Raw genomic sequence first — 24,297 nt, 5'->3', positions numbered from 1 at the left:
AGCAGCTACTCTCCATTCCTCTCTCTCTCTAGCCCCAGCAACCACTAATCTACTTTCTGTCTCTATGGATTTGCCCATTCTAGACATGTCATATACATGGAATCATGCAATTTGTTGCCTTTTGTTACTGGCTTCTTTTGCTTAGCATGATATTCTTAAAGTTCATCTGTGTCATGGCATGTATCAAAACTTCATTCCTTTTTATTGCTGAATAACATTCTGTTGTATGGATAAACCATATTTTGTTTATACATTCATTCACTGATGAGCAATTGGATTGTTTCTACTGTTTTGGCTATTATACGTAATGTTGCTGTGAACATTTATGCACAGGTTTTTGTATGAAAATATGTTTCCAGGGTAGATGCTGTGGCTTATACCTGTAATCCCAGCACTTTGGGAGACCGAGGTGGAAGGATCGCTTAAACCCAGGCTTTTGAGACCAGCCTGGGCAACACAGCAAGAGCCCCAGCCCTACAAAAAAAAAAAAAAATTAAAGAAAATATGTTTTCCGTTCTCTTGAGTATACACCTAGGAGTAGAATTGCTGGGCATATGGTAACATATGTATAATCTTTTGGGGAACTGCCAGACTCTTTTCTACAGTGGCTGCGCCACTCTACATTTCTACCAGCAGTGTTCAGGGGTTCTGCCCTTCTCTACAATGCCTGATTTCTCTAGCAATGCCCTTACTTTATCTTCCTTGTCAAAACTTATCTGTTCTATGTACTATTCACAGCTTATATGAAAAGCTCATCAACATTACTGATTCCATGTGTCATCCCTTCTAGATAACACATTTGCAGTTCAAGAAGAGCCTCCTGGAGAGACAATTAATCAGGACTCTCTCAAATCCAAGTGGTCTGAAGCAAAAAGAGAATTTATTTACTTATGTAGCTAGAAGGATAATGGGGTAGCTTATAGACTTTAAGGGGGAGTTATAGGAACAAAGACTTCAGGGTAAATTTCTCTCTCCCTCTCTCTCTCTCCCCCCCCCACTCCACCCCCCAACCCCTCCCTTCCCTCCCTCTCTTGTTTCTTTGGGTGCCCCTTTTGTTGTTGTTGTTGTTCTTCTTCTTTTTTTTTTTTTTTTTAGACGATGTCTCATTTGGTCACCCAGGCCGGAGTACAGTGACACAATCTCAGCTCACTGCAACCTCTGCCCCCCAGGCTCAAGCAATCCTCCTACCTCAGCCTCCTGAGTAGCTGGGACTATATGCGCACACCAGCTCGCTCTGCTAATTTTTATATTTTTTGTAGAGGCAGGGCTTCACCCTGTTACCCAGGCTGTTCTCAGACTCCTGAGTTCAAGTGACTGCTGGCCTCAGCCTCCCAAAGTGCTAGGATTACAGGCATGGACCACCACGCCCAGCCTGGTGCCCTCTTTCTATGGCTCTCTCTCCACCACTCATCTCTGTTGCCTCTGCCTGGCCTCATTCCATAGTCAGTTTCTTTCCTTGTAAGAATGATGGCTGGCAGAAGACTCAGACTAACACCCTCCCAGCTTAGTAACACAGGGACAGGGACCCTCTCTCTCCCTGCATTGGTTATGCCATGCCCATCCCTGGACCAATCATGTGTCCAGGAAAATGAAGTCTAATGTTTGGCCCAAGCTGGCTCCCATGCCTGTCTCTGTGGTCAGATCAGAAGAAGAGGAATGGATGTGTGGAAGTAGGTGGTGGGAGTTACACACTGGGGAGCCAGAATTAATTGCTGCCAAAAATCTTAATTTAAAGGAGAAGCTCCAATGATAGGAACTTCAGACACCATGGCAGACAGGTAGAAGGATATTTGGGGACAGGAAGAGCTGGAAATCAACTCCAGAGCTTACTCTGTCTAGGTCTGGAGGCAGCCCTGCTCTGGACAGACTCCTGGAGTAGTAGAGAATACTGAGCCCCTGAAAACCCAACAGGCACTTTCCAAATTACAGTGCAACATGCACCACCACAGCGAACCTGAAGACCAGGGCAGGCCCAGCACTTAACCGCATTACCGCCTCCCTAGTCATTACAATCTGTGCAATTTTACTTTTTCCAAGTGAGTAGAGCAGTCTTTTTTAGAAAATGGAGGAATAACTTCAGTAATTGAAAACATTTTCCTTACTCTCAGTGGGTTCCAAAATCTGACAAGGACTCTTAAGGGACTTCAAAACACTTCTCAATTATGATTAAACCAGATATTAGAGTCTACACTTTAAAAAGAGGAAATGAGCTGAATCCTCAGATGTCAGAGCTGGAGGAGCCCATGGGACCACTTAGTTCCCTCAGTTGTTCTACAGAGGGAGAAACTGAGGCCAAGTGCTGGAAGGGACCCATCTGGTCCTCCAGAGCACAGGCGGCAGAGCCAGCACTTATATCCAGATCTCCTGGCCCAGCATCCTTTCCCCCCGACCAGGTCTCTTGGCTGCACTCTCCCTCATGAGCACCAACTCAGATAAAAAATACAGCTCCAGATACATAGTAAGGGTCTAAGAATGAGGTGCTGAATGAATGCAAAGACTTTCCTGTTTTAATTTTCTCTTTGGGCATCATTGCAGGAACGCAATCTATGCCTTGGGGACAGTTTCTTGCTGAAATCAGCACTGCCTGTGCCATAATCTAGCTGTGAGTCACAGATTGCACAGGAAGCATCTTAATGACATTGCTCTGAGAGAGACAAGAGGAGAGTACTTGAGGGGAGGAACAGAAACAAGCACAGGAATTTTTGGAAGTGGTATAAAGAGCTGCAATCAACAGACTCGATCTGAGTACTGACAATGTGTAACATTCTGTGAGCAGTAGGAAGACATTTCAGACACAATGCTGTCTTCCACAGTTACAATCTAGTTACCCAGGGAAGGAGACATACTGCTGGGACATGTTTTGGAGTCCTTTTGTTGTTGTTGTTTTTGCATGAAATTGTAAAAGTTCTTTATTTAAGGGTTTAGTTCTTGTCTGTCTTATAGGTTGCAAATATTTCTCTTCAGTTTTCATTTGTCTTTTGACTTGTTTTTTTCTCTTCTGAAGTATTTAATTTGCATATGTAATCACGTCTATCAGTCTTTTCTTTGGTGTTGCCTAAGCTTCAGTGTCATATTTTAATATCCTTTCTACTTCAATTTTTTTCTTTTTTTTTTAAACAGGGTCTCACTCTGTCACCTAGGCTGGCCAGGCTGGAGTGCAGTGGTGCAATCACAGCTCACTGAAGCCTTGATCCCCTGAGCTCAAGTGATCCTCCCTCTTCAGCCTCCTGAGTAACTGAGACAATAGGCACATGCCACCATGCCCACCCAGCTTTTTTTTTTTTTTTTTTTTTTTTTCTTGTAGTATAATCAAGATCTCCTTATGTTGCCTAGGCTGGTCTTGAACTACTGACCTCCAGTGATTTTCCCACCTTGGCCTCCCAAAGTCCTGGGATTACAGACATGAGCCACTGTACCTGGATTCTACTTCAATTTTCTTTATCAAAATTTTTTCCAGTAGTTTTAAACACTTAAATATTTAAACCATCTGGAATTTATTTTGGCGTAAAATGTGAGGTAGAAATCTAAGGTGTTTTTGTTTTTGTTTTTGTTTTTTTTGTTTTTCCAATGGTTCATCAGTTATCACAGTAATATTTATTGACTAATAATTCTCCTCACTTGCCAGTAATGTTTTATAGAGGTACAGAGAGAAAATGTATACTTGTTTTTTTTTTTTTTTGAGACAGAGTTTCGCTCTTGTCACCCAGGCTGGAGTGCAATGGCACAATCTCAGCTCACTGCAACCTCTGCCTCCCGGGTTCAAGCAATTCTCCTGCCTCAGCCTCCCAAGTAGCTGGGATTACAGGCGAGTGCCATCACACCTGGCTAATTTTTGTACTTTTAGTAGAGACGGGGTTTCACCATGTTGGCCAGGCTGATCTCAAACTCCTGACCTCAGGTGATCCACCCGCCTCGGCCTCCCAAAGTGCTAGGATTACAGGCATGAAGCACCGAACCCGGTGGTTTTTTTTTTTTTTTTAAAGTATGTGCACAACTTTCATGACACTTTTTTCAAAGGGTGCAATTTAATTTCCCTTTCCTTGAGTGTCAACTGGACTTAGTAAGTTCCTCTCTCTCTCTCTCTTTTTTTTTTTTTTTTTAGAGACAGATCTCCTCTCTGTTACTCAGGCTGAAGTATAGTGGCACAATCATAGCTCACTGTAGCTTCAAATTCCCAAGCTCAAGAAATCCTCCCACCTCAGCCTCCCAAGTAGCTAGCACTACAGGTGTGCACCACCACACCCAGCTAATTAAAATTTTTTTTTTTTTTTTTTAGAGACAGGGTCTTACTATGTTGCCCAGCCTGGTCTCAAACTCCTGGCCTCAAGTGATCCTCCCACCTTAGCCTCCCAAAGTGCTGGGATTATAGGCATGCGCCACCATGTCTGGCCTGGACTTAGTAAATTTTAATGACTAAAATATTATGGATTGTGTAAGTGATGTGTGATTTCTGAGACTAAGTCATATTATAAAAGGCATGCAACTTGCTTCTTGCTGTCTTGAATCACCCACCCCTGGGGACACTCAAGCAGTCCTATGGGAAAGATCCATATAGGAGGAACTGAGGCCCCCCAGCCAACAGCCATGAAAGTGCACCTTTTATAAGTGGATCTGTAGCCCTTGTCAAGCTTTCAGATGACTGCAGCCCCAGTCAATGCCTTGAGCATAAGTTCATAAGAGACCCTGGGGACTGGGCACAGTGGCTCATCCCTGTAATCCTAGCACTTTGGGAGGCTGAGGCTGGAGGATCACCTGAGCCCAGGAGTTCGAGACCAGCCTGGGCAACATGGCGAAAACCCATCTCTACAAGAAATACAAAAATTAGGCCGGGCGCGGTGGCTCACGCCTGTAATCCCAGCACTTTGGGAGGCCGAGGCGGGCGGATCACGAGGTCAGGAGATCGAGACCATCCTGGCTAACAAGGTGAAACCCCGTCTCTACTAAAAATACAAAAAATTAGCCGGGCGTGGTAGCGGGCGCCTGTAGTCCCAGCTACTCGGGAGGCTGAGGCAGGAGAATGGCGTGAACCCGGGAGGCGGAGCTCGCAGTGAGCCGAGATCGCGCCACTGCACTCCAGCCTGGGCGACAGAGCGAGACTCCGTCTCAAAAAAAAAAAAAAAAAAAAAAAAGAAATACAAAAATTAGAAAGGCATGGTGTCATGTACCTATAGTCCCAGCTACTCAGGAGGCTGAGACTGGAGGATCACCTGAGCCTGGAGGATCACCTGATCCCAGCGAGGTTGAGGCTGCAGTGAGCCGTGATCATGCCACTACACTCTGGCCTGAGCCAGATGCTGTCTCAAAAAATAAAATAAAATAAAATAAAATAAAATAAAATAAAATAAAATAAAATAAAGACCTTGGGCTGTAATTACCCAGCTAAACCACTCCTGAATTCCTGGCCCAGAGAAATTATGAAATAATACGTGTTTGTTATTTTAAGCTGCTAAGTGGTGGGACAGTTTGCTATGAAACAATAGTCAATACAATGGTTATAGGATATTCGTTGAATGAATCAATTAGTCTGTGGTGAGTTTCCGTCTATCTCTTATTTTTCTCACCTCCTACCTTTCATTACATTCTCCTTGTGCTATTTGCATCACCTAAAAATTCTAGTTAGACCATTCTGTAAAATCTCCCTGATCTGCAGTAAGTCATATTAGTTGAGACGTTTGTTCAGCTGTTTTAATAAGACCAAATAAAAACAGTTTTGAAGAGGTAGATATGGCCAGGTGCGGTGGCTCACAACTGTAATCCCAGCACTTTGGAAGGCCGAGGGGGGTGGATCACCTGAGGTCAGGAGTTCGAGACCAGCCTGGCCAACATGGCGAAACCCTGTCTCTACTAAAAATACAAAAATTAGCTGGGCACCTGTAATCCTAGCTACCTGGGAGACTGAGACAGGAGAATTGCTTGAACCCAGGAGGTGGAGGTTGTAGTGAGGCGAGATCACACACTGCACTCCAGCCTGGGTGACAGAGCGAGACTCTGTCAAAAAAAAAAAAAAAAGTTATTTTTATATATCTTTATAAAAAAAAAGATATTTATATCTCTGCCATGTAAAAGTCTGAGCCTAGGAAGCCTAGAGGAAAGGTGAGGCTCTGTTTCCTGAGGGGGCCTCAGGCACCCAGATGCCTCCTATCTTGTTGCTCTGCCATCTCCAAGAGCCACGCTATCCAAATCTGCAGACACTAGCCACAGGTAGCTCTTTTACTTATTTAAAATTAAATAAAATGAAAGATTCAAGTTATCAGTTGCACTTGTCATATTTCAAGTGCTTAATAGTCACATGTGGCTAGTGGTTCTATGTTGGATAGTGCAGATGTATAAGATATGTAGTATTTCCATCATCACTCTGCTCTAGAGTGTTACCTTCATTCACAAGGTAGACAATTCTGCTCTACCATGTCCACATTCTAATTTATAGAAAGAGATAAAATAAAGTATAAACAGTTTCCTTCCTTTTTTTTTTGAGACGGAGTCTCACTCTGTTGCCAGGCTGGAGTGCAGTGGCCTAATCCCGGCTCACTGCAACCTCCGCCTCCCGGGTTCAGAGATTCTCCTGCCTCAGCCTCCTGAGTAGCTGAGATTACAGGCATGTGCCACCACACTCGGCTAATTTTTGTATTTTTAGTAGAGACGGGGTTTCACCATGTTGGCCAGGATGGTCTCGATCTCTTGACCTTGTCATCCACCTGCCTTGGCCTCCCAAAGTGCTGGGATTACAGGTGTGAGCCACCACGCCTGGCCCAGTTTCCTTTCAGTGCCATGACCCAGAGGGTGAATGCGTCACTTCTGCGCTCACATCCCATTGGCCAGATCTAGTCACGTGGCCACACCTAGCTAAAGAGAAGCAGAAAGATATTGCCTCCTGGAGAGTGGCTAACCTCAAGGTGAGACAGCCTCTCCCTGGAAGGAAGACTCAGAGAATGGACATTGGGGAACCATTAGCAGGGTCTGCCCAGTCATGTTCCTCCAGGAGTCACCACGTGTTCTCATGCAGCATGCACGTTTCTTCCTGCAGCCCATTAGGCTGCTGGCTCCACAGCCCCCACCTGTGCAACAGTGGGACCTCTGCCTTCCTCAGAGTGTCCCATTTCTTTCTGTGAGTCCCTGAGAGGAGCCTCACAAGGGCACGCAAAACCAGTCTATCCCTGGAGTCACCAGGCAGCCTCTAGCCTTTTTTTAATCTTTGGCCCCATTTCTGCATGTCTGTGCCCCTGAATCCCCTTGGAAAGGCATCACCTCTGCCTTAACCATCATGAGGGGCCTGTGGCTTTTCTGGGCCCCAAGGCAGAGCATTTCATGCAGAGCTGGGGACTGGATTGGCTCCCTCTGAGCTACACCAGCTTGCCTGGGCTCTCAAGCAGCTCTGCCTGGCCCTGAATTTTGGGAAGTCCCATCTTGAATTGTTCCATCAGCTTATTCTTGCTCTAAGTCCCTCTCTTTATAGAGTGCTTATGTCGAGTCTGAAGGAGTGAGTAGGGGGCACAAGTACTTCCATCTACTTCCAGACATTTCTTCCCCCTTTCATACAGCAAAACTTCCCACATAAATGGATAGAGATCAAGGAGAGCTGTTGGGAATATGGATTGTCAGAACCAACAGCTGCCAAGTCACAATGTACTATTATTCCCTGACCTCTCTCTGTAGACCTCACCTGAGAGACCCCTCTGGCGTCTTCGACTTACTTGGTTAGCATCTGCCCTCTCACAGATCCACATTTCCCTTCCTAGACTTCTCCGGAAACCCAACAGCTCCTGCTCGGCCCCAAAGACACCTGGCCTGACTGTGCTTTTGTGTTATAGATTTACTTCGCATTCTTGGGGAAGGAGTGCCTCCTGCACGTGAGAAGGAGCAATCCTGTGTTCTAGAGAGGATCCTCTTCAAACTGGCAATTGTTGGTTAGAAATAGGTTTTTGTCTCAAGGGTGGGGAGGCAGCTGCTTGGGAGGACAGCTTGGCAGCCTTCAAATCATGCATACCAGCCGTTTAACAAGCAGCTCCACTCCTGGAAATTTTAAAGGACATAAGCAAAGATTTAGTGGCAAGATACTCATTATAAATGTGTTTATAATAGTGAAAAATTGGCAATAGTCTAAATGCTCAAGAATAAGAGGATTAAATTATGGACAGCCATATGACGGAACATTATTTGGCTTTAAAAAATTATGCTGTATATAAATATTCATAGACATGGAAAGATGGTCATGGTAGATTGTTAGAAAAAATATTGTAGTATGTTGCCATTTTTGTCAGTTTACACACTGATACACATGCAGATGGATATATATCAAATGTTAACAGTGATTTGCTTGAGATGATGAGTATTTTTACTGTCTTCTTTTTGCCTATGTGTATCTTCTAGGTGGGTGTTTGTTACCTTGCAAAGGGAAGAAAATGATTAGAATTATTTGCAATTCAAAACTATACTGCTGGCTGGGCACGGTCGCTCTCGCCTGTAATCCCAGCACTTTGGGAGGCCAAGGCGGGTGAATCACTTGAGGTCAGCAGTTCACCTGGCCAACATGGCAAAACCCTGTCTCTATTAAAGATACAAAAATTAGCCCAGCGTGGTGGCAGGCACCTGTAATCCCTCCCTACTCGGGAGGCTGAGGCACGAGAATGCTTGAACCCAGTAGGCGGAAGTTGTCGATAGCCAATATCGTGCCACTGCACTCCAGCCTGGGTGATGGAGTGAGACTGTTTCAAAACAAACAAACAAACAAACAAAAACAAAAACCCAAAAAACAAAAATGAAAAAACTACACTGCCTCCCAGTCAGACTGGATAAAATCAAAAGGACTGACAATACCAACTGTTGGTGAGGATGTGGAGCAACCAAGACTCATCCATGGCTGATGGGAGTGTAAATTGTAACAACCACTTTGGAAACCTCCGCCTCTAGGTTCAAGTGACTCTCCTGCCTCAGCCTCCCAAGTACCTGGGATTACAGATGGGGTTTCGAAATGTTGGCCAGGCTGGTCTCCAACTCCTAACCTCAGGTGATCCGTCCACCTCAGCCTCCCAAAGTACTGGGATTACAGGTGTGAGCCACTGCACCTGGCCGATGGCTTCTGTATTGAATAGCACAGGACTATATCTTGAGTGGTGGCTTTAATGGTATATACTTACATATAAAAATTCATCAAGCTGTACACTTATAAAAGTTATATCTCAATAAAATAATTAAAAAAAATTTTTAAACGCTTTTTTTTTTTTGAGATGGCGTTTCGCTCTTGTTGCCCAGGCTGGAGTGCAATGGCACCATCTCAGCTCACTGCAACCTCGCCTCCCAGGTTCAAGCGATTCTCCTGCCTCAGACTCCCGAGCAGCTGGGACTACAGGCATGCGCCACCATGCCCGGCTAATTTTGTATTTTTAGTAGAGATGGAGTTTCTTCATGTTGGTCAGGCTGGTCTCAAACTTCTGACCTCAGGTGATCCTCCCACCTCGGCCTCCCAAAGTGCTGGGATTACAGGCATGAGCCACTGCACTGGGCCTTAAAACCCTTTTTAAAAAGAAGTTTGAGAGGCTGAGACAAGCGGATCACCCAAGGTCAGGAGTTTGAGACCAGCCTGGACAACATGGCGAAACCCTGTCTCTACTAAAAATACAAAAATTAGCCGGGCATAGTGGGGGGAGCTACTCTGGAGGCTGAGGCAGGAGAATCTCTTGAACCCGGGAGGTGGAGGTTGCAGTGAGCTGAGATCGCACCACTGCACTCCAACCTTGGCAACGGACGGAGACTCTGTAGAGGTTTAAAAGTTATATCAAGCAAAGAAGACCAGCTGCTCCAGGACCAACATGGTTCAGCATTCCAAGGGCAACCCCTCAGGTCAGCTGACTTGCTCGAATGACAGAGACTCCACCCAGGGTGTGGTAGAGCAGAAACCAGTTCCACTAAAAAAAGGAAGAACAGAAACTTGGGGAGAATGGCCTACTGCTAATAGAGCTGTGCAGCGATTCTAAAGGTCTGCACTCAGCACTTTATTACTGTTTGCCCCACAGTTGAAGACAATGATCGGAGACTCATGCAGAAGAAAGGCAGGGGAGATCCCGAGAAGGTCCTCATGGTAACAGCTGGTCCTTGTTCCACTCAAGCCTGAGAAAATCCACCTCCATAGATCTACTCTGAGCCCCACAATTGAGGCCAGTGTTCCTGAGATGGAGTGCACATATCAGATGATTTTAGTGGTATAACAGTACATTTTTTTTTTACTAGTTATGTATTTATTTAAAATTATAAGGCCAAGTGCAGTGGCTCACACCTATAATCCCAGTGTTTTGGGGCGCTGAGGCAGGCAAATCACCTGAGGTTAGGAGTTCGAGATCAGCCTGGCTAACATGGTGAAGCCCCATCTCTACTAAAGATAAGCTGGGCGTGGTGGTGCACACCTGTAATCCCAGCTACTGGGGAGGCTGAGGCAGGAGAATCGCTTGAACCTGGGAGGCAGAGGTTGCAGTGAGCTGAGATCGTGCCACTGCACTCCAGCCTGGGTGACAGAGTGAGACTCTGTCTCAAAAAAAAAAAATTATACATATATAAGTTTGTGTGTATATATAATGAAACATAAAATCCATGACTGTATAGGCAGCAACTGATTAGGGTAATGTTAAAGTTTAAAAGATGATTGTAAGGCTGGGTTCAATGGCACACACCTATAGTGCCAGCACTTTGAGAAGCCAAGGCAGAAAGATCAGTTGAACTCAGGGGTTTGAGACCAGCCTGGGCAACATAGTGAGACCCCATTTCTACAAAAAAAACTTTTAAAAATTGGCTGGACGTGGTGACACATGCCAGCAGTCCCAGCTACTTGGCAGGTTGAGATGGGAAGATCCCTTGGCTCAGGAAGACAAGGCTACAGTGAGCTATAATTGTGCCAGTGCGCTTCAGCCTGGGCAACACAGAGAGACCTTGTCTAAAAACAAAAACCAAAAAAACAAAAACAAAAACAAAAACAAAAAAATCCGTAAAGAAAAATATTGAGTAAATAATGACACAAATGGTACATAGAGAAAAAATATCATGAAGTATGCAAATCTTTGAGGTTTCAAAAAAAGTGGTTTATGCCACTCTCCCTCTGTGAACTGATCCTGGAGACCCAGGATTTTGGGGGTGGGGGAAGGGGAAGCACATAAGGGGCTACTCCATGTGGGTGAATCAGGAGCAAAATTGAATCAGCAATTTGTTCAGAATCTAACAGCTATCAGAAACTGCATGTTGGAAGTTAGAAGCTAATAGGCCACTTGCTAGAAAAACGAAGACCTTTGTAGGGACCAGGAGGACCTTTGGCTCTGAAGATTCACTGAAAAATCAACTCACAAAAGGCAGATTAATTGGAGAAAAGGTGTACCAATTTATTTAACATGTATACACAGGAGCTTTCATAAAGAAGACCCAAAGATACAGAGGAAATTGTGCATTTTTATGCTTAGCTTCAACAAATTATGGACAGCTGTGTTGAAATATGATTGGACCAGTTTTCCCAGCACCATTTACTAAATAAGGAATCCTTTCCCCATTGCTTGTTTTTCTCAAGTTTGTCAAAGATCAGATAGTTGTAGATATGCGGCATTATTTCTGAGGGCTCTGTTCTGTTCCATTGATCTGTATCTCTGTTTTGGTACCAGTACCATGCTGTTTTGGTTACTGTAGCCTTGTAGTATAGTTTGAAGTCAGGTAGCGTGATGCCTCCAGCTTTGTTCTTTTGGCTTAGGATTGACTTGGCGATGCGGGCTCTTTTTTGGTTCCATATGAACTTTAAAGTAGTTTTTTCCAATTCTGTGAAGAAAGTCATTGGTAGCTTGATGGGGATGGCATTGAATCTATAAATTACCATGGGCAGTATGGCCATTTTCACGATATTGATTCTTCCTACCCATGAGCATGGAATGTTCTTCCATTTGTTTGTATCCTCTTTTATTTCATTGAGCAGTGGTTTGTAGGTCTCCTTGAAGAGGTCCTTCACATCCCTTGTAAGTTGGATTCCTAGGTATTTTATTCTCTTTGAAGCAATTGTGAATGGGAGTTCACTCATGATTTGGCTCTCTGTTTGTCTGTTATTGGTGTATAAGAATGCTTGTGATTTTTGTACATTGATTTTGTATCCTGAGACTTTGCTGAAGTTGCTTATCAGCTTAAGGAGATTTTGCGCTGAGACAATGGGGTTTTCTAGATATACAATCATGTCATCTGCAAACAGGGACAATTTGACTTCCTCTTTTCCTAATTGAATACCCTTTATTTCCTTCTCCTGCCTAATTGCCCTGGCCAGAACTTCCAACACTATGTTGAATAGGAGTGGTGAGAGAGGGCATCCCTGTCTTGTGCCAGTTTTCAAAGGGAATGCTTCCAGTTTTTGCCCATTCAGTATGATATTGGCTGTGGGTTTGTCATAGATAGCTCTTATTATTTTGAGATACGTCCCATCAATACCTAATTTATTGAGAGTTTTTAGCATGAAGGGTTGTTGAATTTTGTCAAAGGCCTTTTCTGCATCTATTGAGATAATCATGTGGTTTTTGTCTTTGGTTCTGTCTATATGCTGGATTACGTTTATTGATTTGCATATATTGAACCAGCCTTGCATCCCAGGGATGAAGCCCACTTGATCACGGTGGATAAGCTTTTTGATGTGCTGCTGGATTCGGTTTGCCAGTATTTTATTGAGGATTTTTGCATCAGTGTTCATCAAGGATATTGGTCTAAAATTCTCTTTTTTGGTTGTGTCTCTGCCTGGCTTTGGTATCAGGATGATGCTGGCCTCATAAAATGAGTTAGGGAGGATTCCCTCTTTTTCTATTGATTGGAATAGTTTCAGAAGGAATGGTACCAGTTCCTCCTTGTACCTCTGGTAGAATTTGGCTGTGAATCCATCTGGTCCTGGACTCTTTTTGGTTGGTAAGCTATTGATTATTGCCACAATTTCAGAGCCTGTTATTGGTCTATTCAGAGAGTCAACTTCTCCCTGGTTTAGTCTTGGGAGGGTGTATGTGTCGAGGAATTTATCCATTTCTTCTAGATTTTCTAGTTTATTTGCGTAGAGGTGTTTGTAGTATTCTCTGATGGTAGTTTGTATTTCTGTGGGATCGGTGGTGATATCCCCTTTATCATTTTTTATTGCGTCTATTTGATTCTTCTCTCTTTTCTTCTTTATTAGTCTTGATAGTGGTCTATCAACTTTGTTGATCCTTTCAAAAAACCAGCTCCTGGATTCATTAATTTTTTGAAGGTTTTTTTGTGTCTCTATTTCCTTCAGTTCTGCTCTGATTTTAGTTATTTCTTGCCTTCTGCTAGCTTTTGAATGTGTTTGCTCTTGCTTTTCTAGTTCTTTTAATTGTGATGTTAGGGTGTCAATTTTGGATCTTTTCTGCTTTCTCTTGTGGGCATTTAGTGCTATAAATTTCCCTCTACACACTGCTTTGAATGTGTCCCAGAGATTCTGGTATGTTGTGTCTTTGTTCTCATTGGTTTCAAAGAACATCTTTATTTCTGCCTTCATTTCTTTATGTACCCAGCAGTCATTCAGGAGCAGGTTGTTCAGTTTCCACGTAGTTGAGCAGTTCTGAGTGAGTTTCTTAATCCTGAGTTCTAGTTTGATTGCACTGTGGTCTGAGAGACAGTTTGCCATATGTAGAAAGCTGAAACTGGATCCCTTCCTTATACTTTATACAAAAATTAATTCAAGATGGATTAAAGACTTAAACGTTAGACCTAAAACCATAAAAATCCTAGAAGAAAACCTAGGCATTACCATTCAGGACATAGGCATGGGCAAGGACTTCATGTCTAAAACACCAAAAGCAATGGCAACAAAAGCCAAAATTGACAAATGGGATCTAATTAAACTAAAGAGCTTCTGCACAGCAAAAGAAACTACCATCAGAGTGAACAGGCAACCTACAAAATGAGAGAAAATTTTCGCAACCTACTCATCTGACAAAGGGCTAATATCCAGAATCTACAAAGAACTCAAACAAATTTACAAGAAAAAAACAAACAACTCCATCAAAAAGTGGGCAAAGGACATGAACAGACACTTCTCAAAAGAAGACATTTATGCAGCCAAAAAACACATGAAAAAATGCTCACCATCACTGGCCATCAGAGAAATGCAAATCAAAACCACAATGAGATACCATCTCACACCAGTTAGAATGGCAATCATTAAAAAGTCAGGAAACAACAGGTGCTGGAGAGGATGTGGAGAAATAGGAACACTTTTACACTGTTGGTGGGACTGTAAACTAGTTCAACCCTTGTGGAAGTCAGTGTGGCGATTCCTCAGGGATCTAGAACTAGAAATACCATTTGACCCAGCCATCCCATTACTGGGTATATACCCAAAGGACTATAAATCATGCTGCTATAAAGACACATGCACACGTATGTTTATTGTGGCACTATTCACAATAGCAAAGACTTGGAACCAACCCAAATGTCCAACAATGATAGACTGGATTAAGAAAATGTGGCACATATACACCATGGAATACTATGCGGCCATAAAAAATGATGAGTTCATGTCCTTTGTAGGGACATGGATGAAATTGGAAATCATCATTCTCAGTAAACTATCGCAAGAACAAAAAACCAAACACCGCATATTCTCACTCATAGGTGGGAATTGAACAATGAGAACACATGGACACAGGAAGGGGAACATCACACTCTGGGGACTGTTGTGGGGTGGGGGGAGGGGGGAGGGATAGCTTTAGGAGATATACCTAATGCTAAATGATGAGTTAATGGGTGCAGCACACCAGCATGGCACATGTATACATATGTAACTAACCTGCACATTGTGCACATGTACCCTAAACCTTAAAGTATAATAATAATTAAATAAAAAAAATTAAAAAAAAAAAGAAATACGATTGGACCAAAAAGATATGCTCTGGCTGGGCATGGTGGCTCGTGCTGTAATCCCAGCACTTTAGGAGGCCTAGAAGGGCAGATCACTCAAGGTCAGGAGTTTGAGACCAACCTGACCAACATGGTGAAACCCTGTCTATACTAAAAATACAAAAATAAGCCAGGCATGGTGGCGCGTGCCTGTAGTCCCAGCTACTTGGGAGGCTGAGTCATGAGAATCACTTGAACCCAGGAGGCATAGTTTGCGGTGAGCAGAGATCGTGCCACTGCATTCCAGCCTGGGTGACAGGGGGAGACTCTGTCTCAAAATAAATAAATAAATAAATAAACACTCTAGACTGAATGGGATAATCCAGCCAGGCTTGTCTGTCTAGATTCTTCTTGGCGTCTCTGAGCAGCATTCTTTCCTTCTGGTGTGAGGCAGGACCCTCTCTACAATGGGGGTCTTATGACCTGCAATCAAACAAGGTAGGTCAGACCATTTCTTTACGGCCAGTTTTTTACACAGAAAAGTGGGGAGAAAGTTAGAATAATATTTTCAAGTTTTATGGCTGGCTTTAGGGAAAAGGGACTCTGGTTGCTATGAATCACATTAGGGAAGAGGGATCCTAGTTTCTAAGGCTAGAATGGGACTGGGGAGACAGGACGGCAGGAGAAGGTCAGAGAAAAACTTTTGTTCCTGATGTTGTTTCTGAGGCCTTCATTTTGGGGTGTTATTTTCTGAGACCCAACACCTTAAAGACAGCAAATGGTGCAGATTTCTCTAGAAGAGCTTATTTTGTAGTCACAGTAGAGATTTCCTTTTTGTTTTCCTAGGGCAAAGGGCAAAGGCTCCCACTCCTCACCCAGGTGATATCCCCAGAGCCATGCTCTTCCCAGTTCAGGCATCTCCCCACATGGGAACTTCCTGTTTGTTGAGACCACAGACAAAATGGCTGCCCACAGGGCTGACCATCAGCCATGGGAAAGTACATATACTAAACGGTTAAACAAAAAAAGACATGGAACAGTACTCTAACTTTGAGTGGACAGTCTCTTTTTTAAATCCTATCATAAATCCATTTTAAGAATTTAGGTTGCCAGGCTGGGTGCAGTGGCTTACGCCTGTAATCCCAGCACTTTAGGAGGCCAAGGTGGGTGGATTACCTGACATCAGTAGTTTGAGACCAGCCTAGCCAACATGGTGAAACCCCATCTCTTCTAAAAATACAAAAAATTAGCCAGGCATGGTGGCAGGTGCCTGTAATCCCAGCTACTTGGGAGGCTGAAGCAGGAGAATCGCTTGCACCCAGGAGGCAGAGGTTGCAGTGAGCCTAGGTCACGCCATTGCACTCCAGCCTGGGCAACAAGAGCGAAACTCAGTATCAAAAAACAAAACAAAACAAAAACAAGAATTTAGATTGCCTTTCAATATTCTGAAATCTTTTCTTTTCTTTTTTTCTTTGTTCTTTTTCTTCTTGTTTCTGAGTGAAATGCTTCCTAACTTGGATAAAGTTACCGTCAGATACCAAGGCTAGCTGTCAAGGTCAAGGTCATGCAAGAAACGGAGCAAGTAACGGTGTTGCCCCAGACTTTAGTTCCTCTGGGCACTCTCAGAACTCACTGGGAAGAGAAGCCCTGTCCCCCAGCCCTGTACACAGGGTGCTGTAGAGGAGGACCAAAAGATGCCACCACCTTGTTCTTACTGGAACTCTGTGCAACTGGGAGCAGAGAGGCAAACAAACAATACAAAGGCAGAAGGAGGCTGAGAAGGAGGAACACATAGGGCCAGGCTGAGGATGGAAGAGTCACCCCCAGGGCCACACCCTGGCTCATAAGACAGGGCTGGAGGAGGGTGAATTTTATATCCCTTCTCAGAGCTCCCTGCTATACAGATGGGTCCATCACAGCAGTGACCATTACTTCCATATACTGACCATTCACCACGAGCCAGGCACCACTCAGAGTGCTTTCCATGCATTATCCCATTTGGCAGAGAGACAATAATACACTCTGGAGTTTCTTTTTCAGTCAGCAAATTGTTTTAAGAGCCTACTATGTGTCAGGCACAGTTTTAGGTACTGGGGAAACAGCAGTGCCAAGGCCAAGTCCCTAGTCTAAGAAATGGCCAGGCATGGTGGTTCATGTCTGTAATCCCAGCACTTTGGGAGGCCATGGCGGGTGGATCACCTGAGGTCAGAAGTTCAAGGCTAGCCTGGCCAAGATGGAGAAACTCCATTTCTACTAAAATACAAAAATTATCTGGGCATGGTGGCATGCACCTGTAATCCCAGCTACTCAGGAGCCTGAGGTAGGAGAATCACTTGAACCTGGGAGGCGAAAGGAAAGGGAGGGGAGGGGAAAGGAGGGGAGTGGGGAGAGGGGAGGAAAGGAAGGAAGGAAGGAAAGAAGGAAGGAAGGAAGGGAGAGAGGGAAAAAAGAAAGAAAGAGAGAGAAAAAGAAAGAAAGAAAGAAAAGAAAAAGAAAGAAAGAGAAAGGGAGAGAGAGAAAGAAAGAAAAGAAAGAAAGAAAGAGAAAGGAAGAAAGGAAGGGAAGAAATTACAAGAGATGCTGAAGTTATTGCTGTTAAAAAAAAAAAAAAAAAAGAAGAGGAAGAAACTACACCAGAGACCAGGTCTGGGTATCATATCTGACTCCGCCTTTTACTAGATGAGTGACAATTAGTGCCACTAGACTTCAGCCTCTCCATTTGTGAAACAGCAAAAAAAAAAAAAATGTGAGAGAGATATTGATATAGCATATCTATATATCATATATAACAGATATATATCTTATCTATATAAATTCACCTTAAAGGTTTGTGCAAGGATTAAGTGAGATAAATATGTGCCTAAAGTTCTTGGAACAGTGCTGACAACACAGTAAATGCTTAATAAATACTGGCAACTACTTACAATGCTTGAGGTAGGTACTCTTATTGCCTCCACTTTTAAAAATTGTGGTAAAATATACATAACATAAAATTTACCATTTTAACTGTTTTTTTTTTTTTTTTTGAGACGGAGTCTCTCTCTGTCACCAGGCTGGAGTGCAGTAGCGTGAACTCGGCTCACTGCAACCTCTGACTCCCTGGTTCAAGCAATTCTCCTGCCTCAGCCTTCAGAGTAGCTGGGATTACAGGTACGCGGCCACCATGCCCAGCTAATTTTTGTATTTTTAGTAGAGATGGGGTTTCACCATGTTGGCCAGGATGGTCTTGATCTCCTGACCTCGTGATCCTCCCGCCTTGGCCTCCCAAAGTGCTGGGATTACAGGTGTGAGCCACAGCGCCCAGCCATTTTAACCATTTTTAGGTGCACAGTTGGTGAAGTACATTCACATTGATGTGCAACCATCACCACCACCATCCATCTCTAGAATTTTTTTCATTTTCCCAAACTAAAACTCTGTATCATTAAACAATAACTCCTGTTCTCCTCCCTCAGCCCCCAGCAGCCACCCTTCTACTTTCTGTCTCTATGAATTTGACTACTCCAGGTACACATAGACCTACAGCTATATGAATCAAACAGTATTTGTCCTTTCGTGACTGGCTTATTTCACTTAGCATAGTCTGTTCAAGGTTCATTCATGTTATAGCATGTGTCAGAATTTTCTTCCTTTTTAAGGCTGAATAATATTCCATTGTATGTATGTACCACATTTTGCTTATCTATCCATTCATCTGTTGATGGACGCTTGGGTTAGTTCCATGTTTTAACTACCTGTATTGTAAATAATGCTGCCAGGAATATAGGTGTTGTTAAAGCAAACTAAATATGGCCTGAGAAGGACTCCGTACTTCTCTATTTGAGTCCTTGTGGATGAACTGTAACCTAGCTTAATAGGCAGACAAGATTGAAAACCTAACTTAGGAGTGTGCACCTGTAACAATAGCTGAGTCTTGGCAAGTCCCAGCAGCCAAACTTCAACCACTCATAGACTGCTAAGTGTTAAAATTGTGTTCAAATAAGGCAACGCCAACCTGTAACCAATCCAGCTGTTTTTATACCTCACTTCCAATTTCCCTACATCGTTTCCCTTTTTTGTCTATAAATCTTCTACCACGTGGCTGTGCTGGAGTCTCTCTGAATTGGCTGTGATTCTGGGGGCTGCCCAATTCGTGAATCCTTCATTGGTCAGTTAAACTCCTTTAAATTTAATTCGGCTGAAGTTTTTCTTTTAACAGTGTACAAATACCTCTTCAAGATTCTGCTTTCAATTCTTTTGGACATGCACCCAGAAGTTATGTTGATAGATCGGCCCTGAGGTGAACTAAAGCCAGCAGCCCCACATCATGTCAAAGTTCGGCCGGGCCACCCGGGGCCTCAGGAAGCCCGAGGTCGGCGATGTGATCCGGACCATCGTGCGGGCAGGCCTGGCCATGCCCGGGCCCCCACTAGGCCCAGTGCTGGGTCAGAGAAGGGCTTCCATCAACCAATTTTGCAAGGAGTTCAATGAGAGGACAAAGGACATCAAGGAAGGCATTCCTCTGCTTACCAAGATTTTTCTGAAGCCTGACGGGACATTTGAAATCAAGATTGGACAACCCACTGTTTCCTACTTCGTGAAGGCAGCAGCTGGGATTGAAAAGGGGGCCCGGCCAACAGCCTCAGTTCAGAAGAGTTTGCAGCTTTCCAGAAGGAACAAGCCATCTTCCTGGCTGCTCAGAAGAAGGCAGATTTGGCCACCCAGGAGGAAGCTGCCAAGAAGTGACCCTTTCCCCCAACTCCTAGATTTCAAAGGAGGCAGCTGGGAAGGGGCCAGTTGCAAAGGCTGTGCCCAAGGGGAGGAAGGAGGTCACACCAATATGATGATGGTTTTCGTGACTTTGAATGATATATTTTTGTACATCTAGCTGTATCGAGACATCAGGCCTGAATAAACATCTTTTCTAAAAAAAAAGAAAAAAAAAGGAAGTTATATTGATAGATCATATGGCAAGTCTGTTTGTTTGTTTTTATTTTTTAACTTAAAAAAAATAAAAAGAGGCTGGGCACAGTGGCTCACGCCTGTAATCCTAGCACTTTGGGAGGCTGAGGCAGGCAGAAGAGGTCAGGAGTTCGAGACCAGCCTGACCAACATGGTGAAACCCCATCTCTAGTAAAAGTACAAAAATTAGCCAGGCGTGGTGGCTAACGCTTGTAATCCCAGCTACTTGGGAGGCTGAGGCAGGAGAATTGCTTGAATCTGGGAGGCGGAGGTTGCAGTGAGCTGAGATCATGCCATTGCACTCCAGCCTGGGCAACAAAAGCGAAACTCATTTCAAAAATAAAAAATAAAATAAAAAGAGACAAGGCCTCACTACGTTGCCCAGGCTGGTCTCAAACTCCTGCGCTCCAGTGAGCCACCCACCTCAGCCTCCCAAAGTGCTAGGATTACAAGCATGAGCCACCACACCCAGCTACCTGTTTGATTTTTGACAAACCGCTATACTGTTTTCCATAATGGCCGCACCATTTTACATTCTTACCAACAGTGCACAAGGGTTCCAATTTCTCCACACCCTTGCCAACACTTGTTCTGTGCTGTTGTTTTGATAGTAGCCATCCTAATGGGTGTGACTTGTATCTCATTGCAGTTTGGATTTGCGTTTACGTAAAGATTAGTAGGGCTGGGCACAGTGGCTCCTGCCTGTAATCCCAGCACTTTGGCAGGCCGAGGCGGGTGGATCACCTTAGGTCGGGAGTTCGAGATCAGCTTAACCAACATGGAGAAACCCTGTCTCTACTAAAAATACAAAATTAGCCGGGCATGGTGGTGCATGCCTGTAATCCCAGCTACTCAGGAGGCTGAGGCAGGAGAATTGCTTGAACCCGGGAGGCAGAGGTTGTGGTGAGCCGAGATCGTGCCATTGCACTCCAGCCTGGGCAACAAGAGTGAAACTCCGTCTCAAAAAATAAACACATTTTAAAAAATTTTTAAAAAGATTAGTGATGCTGGGTATCTTTTCGTGTGCTTATTAGCTAGCCATTTGTGTATCAAAGTACTTCAACTCAAGTACTTTGCCCATTTTTTAATTGGTTGTTTTTTGTTATTGTTGTTGAGTTGTAGCAAGGTGTTTTACATGCATTTCTTTCTTTCTTCCCACATGCATATGGCATCTCTTATTAATCCCCCACCCACAGCCAGGCACAGATACAGGTCCCCTCTGCATTCACTCCTCCACCTAGAAGGAGTGACATCCTCCAGGGCACCTCAGGCACCCTCAGATGATAAATGAAGTCTGCAATAGTAGCTAGAGACAAGAAGTACACAAACAGGAAGGAGGGAGGGGAAGGCCAGCCAGGGAGATGAAACAAACAGGCTCTAGTTCTCTCAGTCCAGTTCATATTAAATTAGCTACAAATTATCAGTGCCTCAAATCCAAAGACAAACTGATTTCATATAAATTTCATCTTTGAGCTTCACAAGGGGTATGGGTCTTTTGCACATTCTAGAGGTACCTTCCCAACCTGCTCAATAATTGAACACCTGCAGCAAAGACCAGAAGTAAGAAAAAGGCTGAGAGGCCTGGGAAGATGTTAGATAATGTGCAAACAGCCTTCTGGAAGGAGAAACAGAGAGAGTGCTTGCTCCCCTACCATATTCTTCAGAGGGGGAGTCTTAGAACCACAGTGTAATAAGGAAGTTGACAGTAACAAAATAAACGAAGCCATGACAATAAGTTGTGCAGGGAAGATATGTGAGAGTGAAATCACAGACCCCTAGAAAATGTAACCAGAGACCTCAGTTTTAAAAATCACCCACTCTCCCGGCCTGGGCAACAGGGTGAAACCCTGTCTCTACAAAAAAATACAAAAATTAGCCAGATGTGGTGGTGTGCACCTGTAGTCCCAGCTACTTGGGAGGCTGAGATGGCAGGATCGCTTGAGCCTGGGAAGTCAAGGTTGCAGTGAGCTGAGATTGCACCACTGCATTCCAACCTGGGTGACAGAGGGAGACCCTGTCTCAAGAAAACGAAACAAAACAAAAAAACAAAAAACGAAACGCTCACTTTCTTTTCTTTTTTAATTTTTTTAGTTCTGAGGTACATGAGCAGGATGTGCAGGTTTGTTACCTAGGTGAATGTATGCCACGGTGGTTTGCGGCACCTATCAACCCATCACCTAGGTATTAAGCCCTGCATGCATTAGCTATTTTTCCTAATGCTCTCCCTGCTACCGCGCTCCCGCAACAGGCCCGGTGTGTGTTGTTCCCCTCCCTGTGTCCATGTGTCCTCATTGTTCAACTCCCACTTACAAGTGAGAACATGCAGTGTTTGGTTTTCTGTTCCTGTGTTAGTTTGCTGAAGATAATGGCTTCCAGCTTCATCCATGTCCCTGCAAAGGACATGATCTCATTCCTTCTCATGGCTGCATAGTATTCCGTGGTCTATATGTACCACATTCTTTATCCTGTCTATCGTTGATGGGCATTTGGGTTGATTCCATGTCTTTGCTATTGAAACACCCACTTTCTTTTTCCTCCTTCCTTCCCCTCTCACCTCTTCGTTTCTTCCCCATCTGGTTACACGTGCTTATCTAATTGTGCTCTTGCTTAAATCCCAAAGGCTAATCTTGAAACCAGGCACTGTGTTTTCTTTTTGGAATCCTCCTGTTTAGGAGGAGTCATGAACAATTAGTCCACCACCATCAGGCCAAAATCAAGATAACACCAACCAGACCTCCAAACAGGCAATTACCCAAGATAGCCATAGGAACAAGACACACAGATGCTGTACCCTGCACCGCTCCCTCATGCCTCCCACACCAAGTTTCCCCTTAAGAACCCTAAGGTAAATGTTAAAATTTAAGATGGTATTTTAGAACACTAGCTCACCATCTTTTTGGTTTGCTGGCTGTCTGATTAAAACCTGCTTTTCCTCCCACCAAACCTCACCTCTTGTGTTTGGCTTTTGAATGGCAGAGCAGAGCAGAGCAGACAAACGCGGGTCCAGTTACAAAAAGGCAGTAATCTATGAGGCGCTTTGTAAACATACTCGCTCCTTTAACAGTGATTGCAGTCCTGCCCCAGGCTCCTCCCCATTAATGTTAGAATAAGACTATAGCTTAGGAAATGTGCTAAAAATGCAGGGTCATGGGCACCATCCTTGAGATACGGCTCTGGTAAGTCAAGGTGGGCCAAGGAGCCCGCATCTTTACCCAGATGCCTACAGGGAAGGTGTTGCTGGTGGCCGGAGCCTACAGTCTGAGCCATGCTGGCTACTGTCAGTGACAAAGGCTCCCCTGGGCTTTCCCCAGTCTGTGGAACAGTGATCACAGACTCCGTTCCACCTTTTCCTCTTCAAATCCTGGAGAGGATTCCTGAAATTATGAACGGAAAAATTAGAGGGTGAGGACATCTATCCCGTGACAACAGGATTCTTCCTTTCCCAAAAGAATTGCTAAGAGGTGCTCTTATTTTTCAGGAACTCGCCTGTAAGTGTTTGCCACGTTAAGAGCGCGAGGGAGCAGTTTGGCAGATGTTCAGGGAAGAGATAGAGGGCATTTAAGAGCTGTGGTGAACAGTGCATTGCTGAGCAATGAAGATAAAACGGGAATCACAAGCTAAAGTTACAAACGGAATAGGATTTGGCTTATATATTTGTCGAGAACACATCCATTTGCAATTGAAATAATAATGACAGTCTTGTCTAGGTGCCGTGGCTCACGCCTATAATCCCAGCACTTTGGGAAGCAAGGTGGAAGGACTGCTTGAGCCCAGGAGTTCAAGACCAGCATAAGTAACATAGTGAGACTTCTGTCTCTACAAAAGTAAAAAAAGAAAAAAAAATTAGCCAGGTGTGGTGGTGCATGCCTGTGGTCTTAGCTACTTGGGAGGCTATGGCAGGAGGATCACTTGAGCCCAGAAGGTCCAGGCTACAGTGAGCCATGATTGTGCCACTGCACACCAGCCTGGGTGACAGAGTGAGATCCCATCTCAAAATAACCATAATAATAATGACAGTCTCATGAGCAAGTCCTTGTGCTAATTATGCTTTATACATTAATTCACTTAAAAATATATTCACATATGAAATGTGCACATAAATTAACAAGTAAAAACTATAAAGAGGCTGCATTTACAGATGGTCGCAGATCAGCCAAGCAATACAGCCTGTAGTTTAGCCCATGAGCTCTAGACAGCTTCTGGTTCAAGTCCTGGCTCTGTTATTTATCAACTGTGTGACCTTCATAAGGAACATCTTCAGGCCTTGGTTTCCTCATCTGTTAAATAAGATGACACACGTAAAGCTCTTAGCACAGTCCTTGGCATGTAGTAAAACAGCCTCTAAGTGTTTTTAGTTATTGTTATTGTCAGTGCTGCTGGAGCAGAGCACAAGTCCCCTGCCCCACAGCAGAGTAAGTTGGGTCTGAAGCCGCTTTGGACTTCACACACAGCCCCACGGAGATCCACAGGGATCCAAGGAGCGCTGTCAGGCTGGCCTAGATACTGAGA

The 24,297-nt window shown here is 44.1% G+C and overlaps 1 pseudogene, besides 3 other annotated features; it reads left to right on the top strand.

The window, feature by feature from the left end:
- Window positions 6,282-7,147: an enhancer, noted in NCBI's record as "H3K27ac hESC enhancer chr5:141428697-141429562 (GRCh37/hg19 assembly coordinates)". NCBI's record gives its function as "activates a minimal SCP1, AML or CMV promoter by ChIP-STARR-seq in primed H9 embryonic stem cells {active_cell/tissue: H9 hESC(primed)}" and the evidence as "EXISTENCE:reporter gene assay evidence [ECO:0000049][PMID:30033119]".
- Window positions 7,148-8,015: an enhancer, noted in NCBI's record as "NANOG-H3K27ac hESC enhancer chr5:141427829-141428696 (GRCh37/hg19 assembly coordinates)". NCBI's record gives its function as "activates a minimal SCP1, AML or CMV promoter by ChIP-STARR-seq in primed H9 embryonic stem cells {active_cell/tissue: H9 hESC(primed)}" and the evidence as "EXISTENCE:reporter gene assay evidence [ECO:0000049][PMID:30033119]".
- Window positions 19,092-19,752, top strand: MRPL11P2 (mitochondrial ribosomal protein L11 pseudogene 2; annotated as a pseudogene).
- Window positions 23,201-23,495: a silencer, noted in NCBI's record as "tiled region #4900; K562 Repressive DNase matched - State 8:EnhW". NCBI's record gives its function as "represses a minimal TATA promoter and a strong SV40 promoter by Sharpr-MPRA in K562 cells {active_cell/tissue: K562}" and the evidence as "EXISTENCE:reporter gene assay evidence [ECO:0000049][PMID:27701403]".

Source organism: Homo sapiens, chromosome 5, assembly GCF_000001405.40.
Source record: "Homo sapiens chromosome 5, GRCh38.p14 Primary Assembly".
Taxonomy (NCBI): Eukaryota; Metazoa; Chordata; class Mammalia; order Primates; family Hominidae; genus Homo; species Homo sapiens.
The sequence above is the reverse complement of the archived record's forward strand: the minus strand, read 5'-3'. Positions and strand labels throughout refer to the sequence as shown.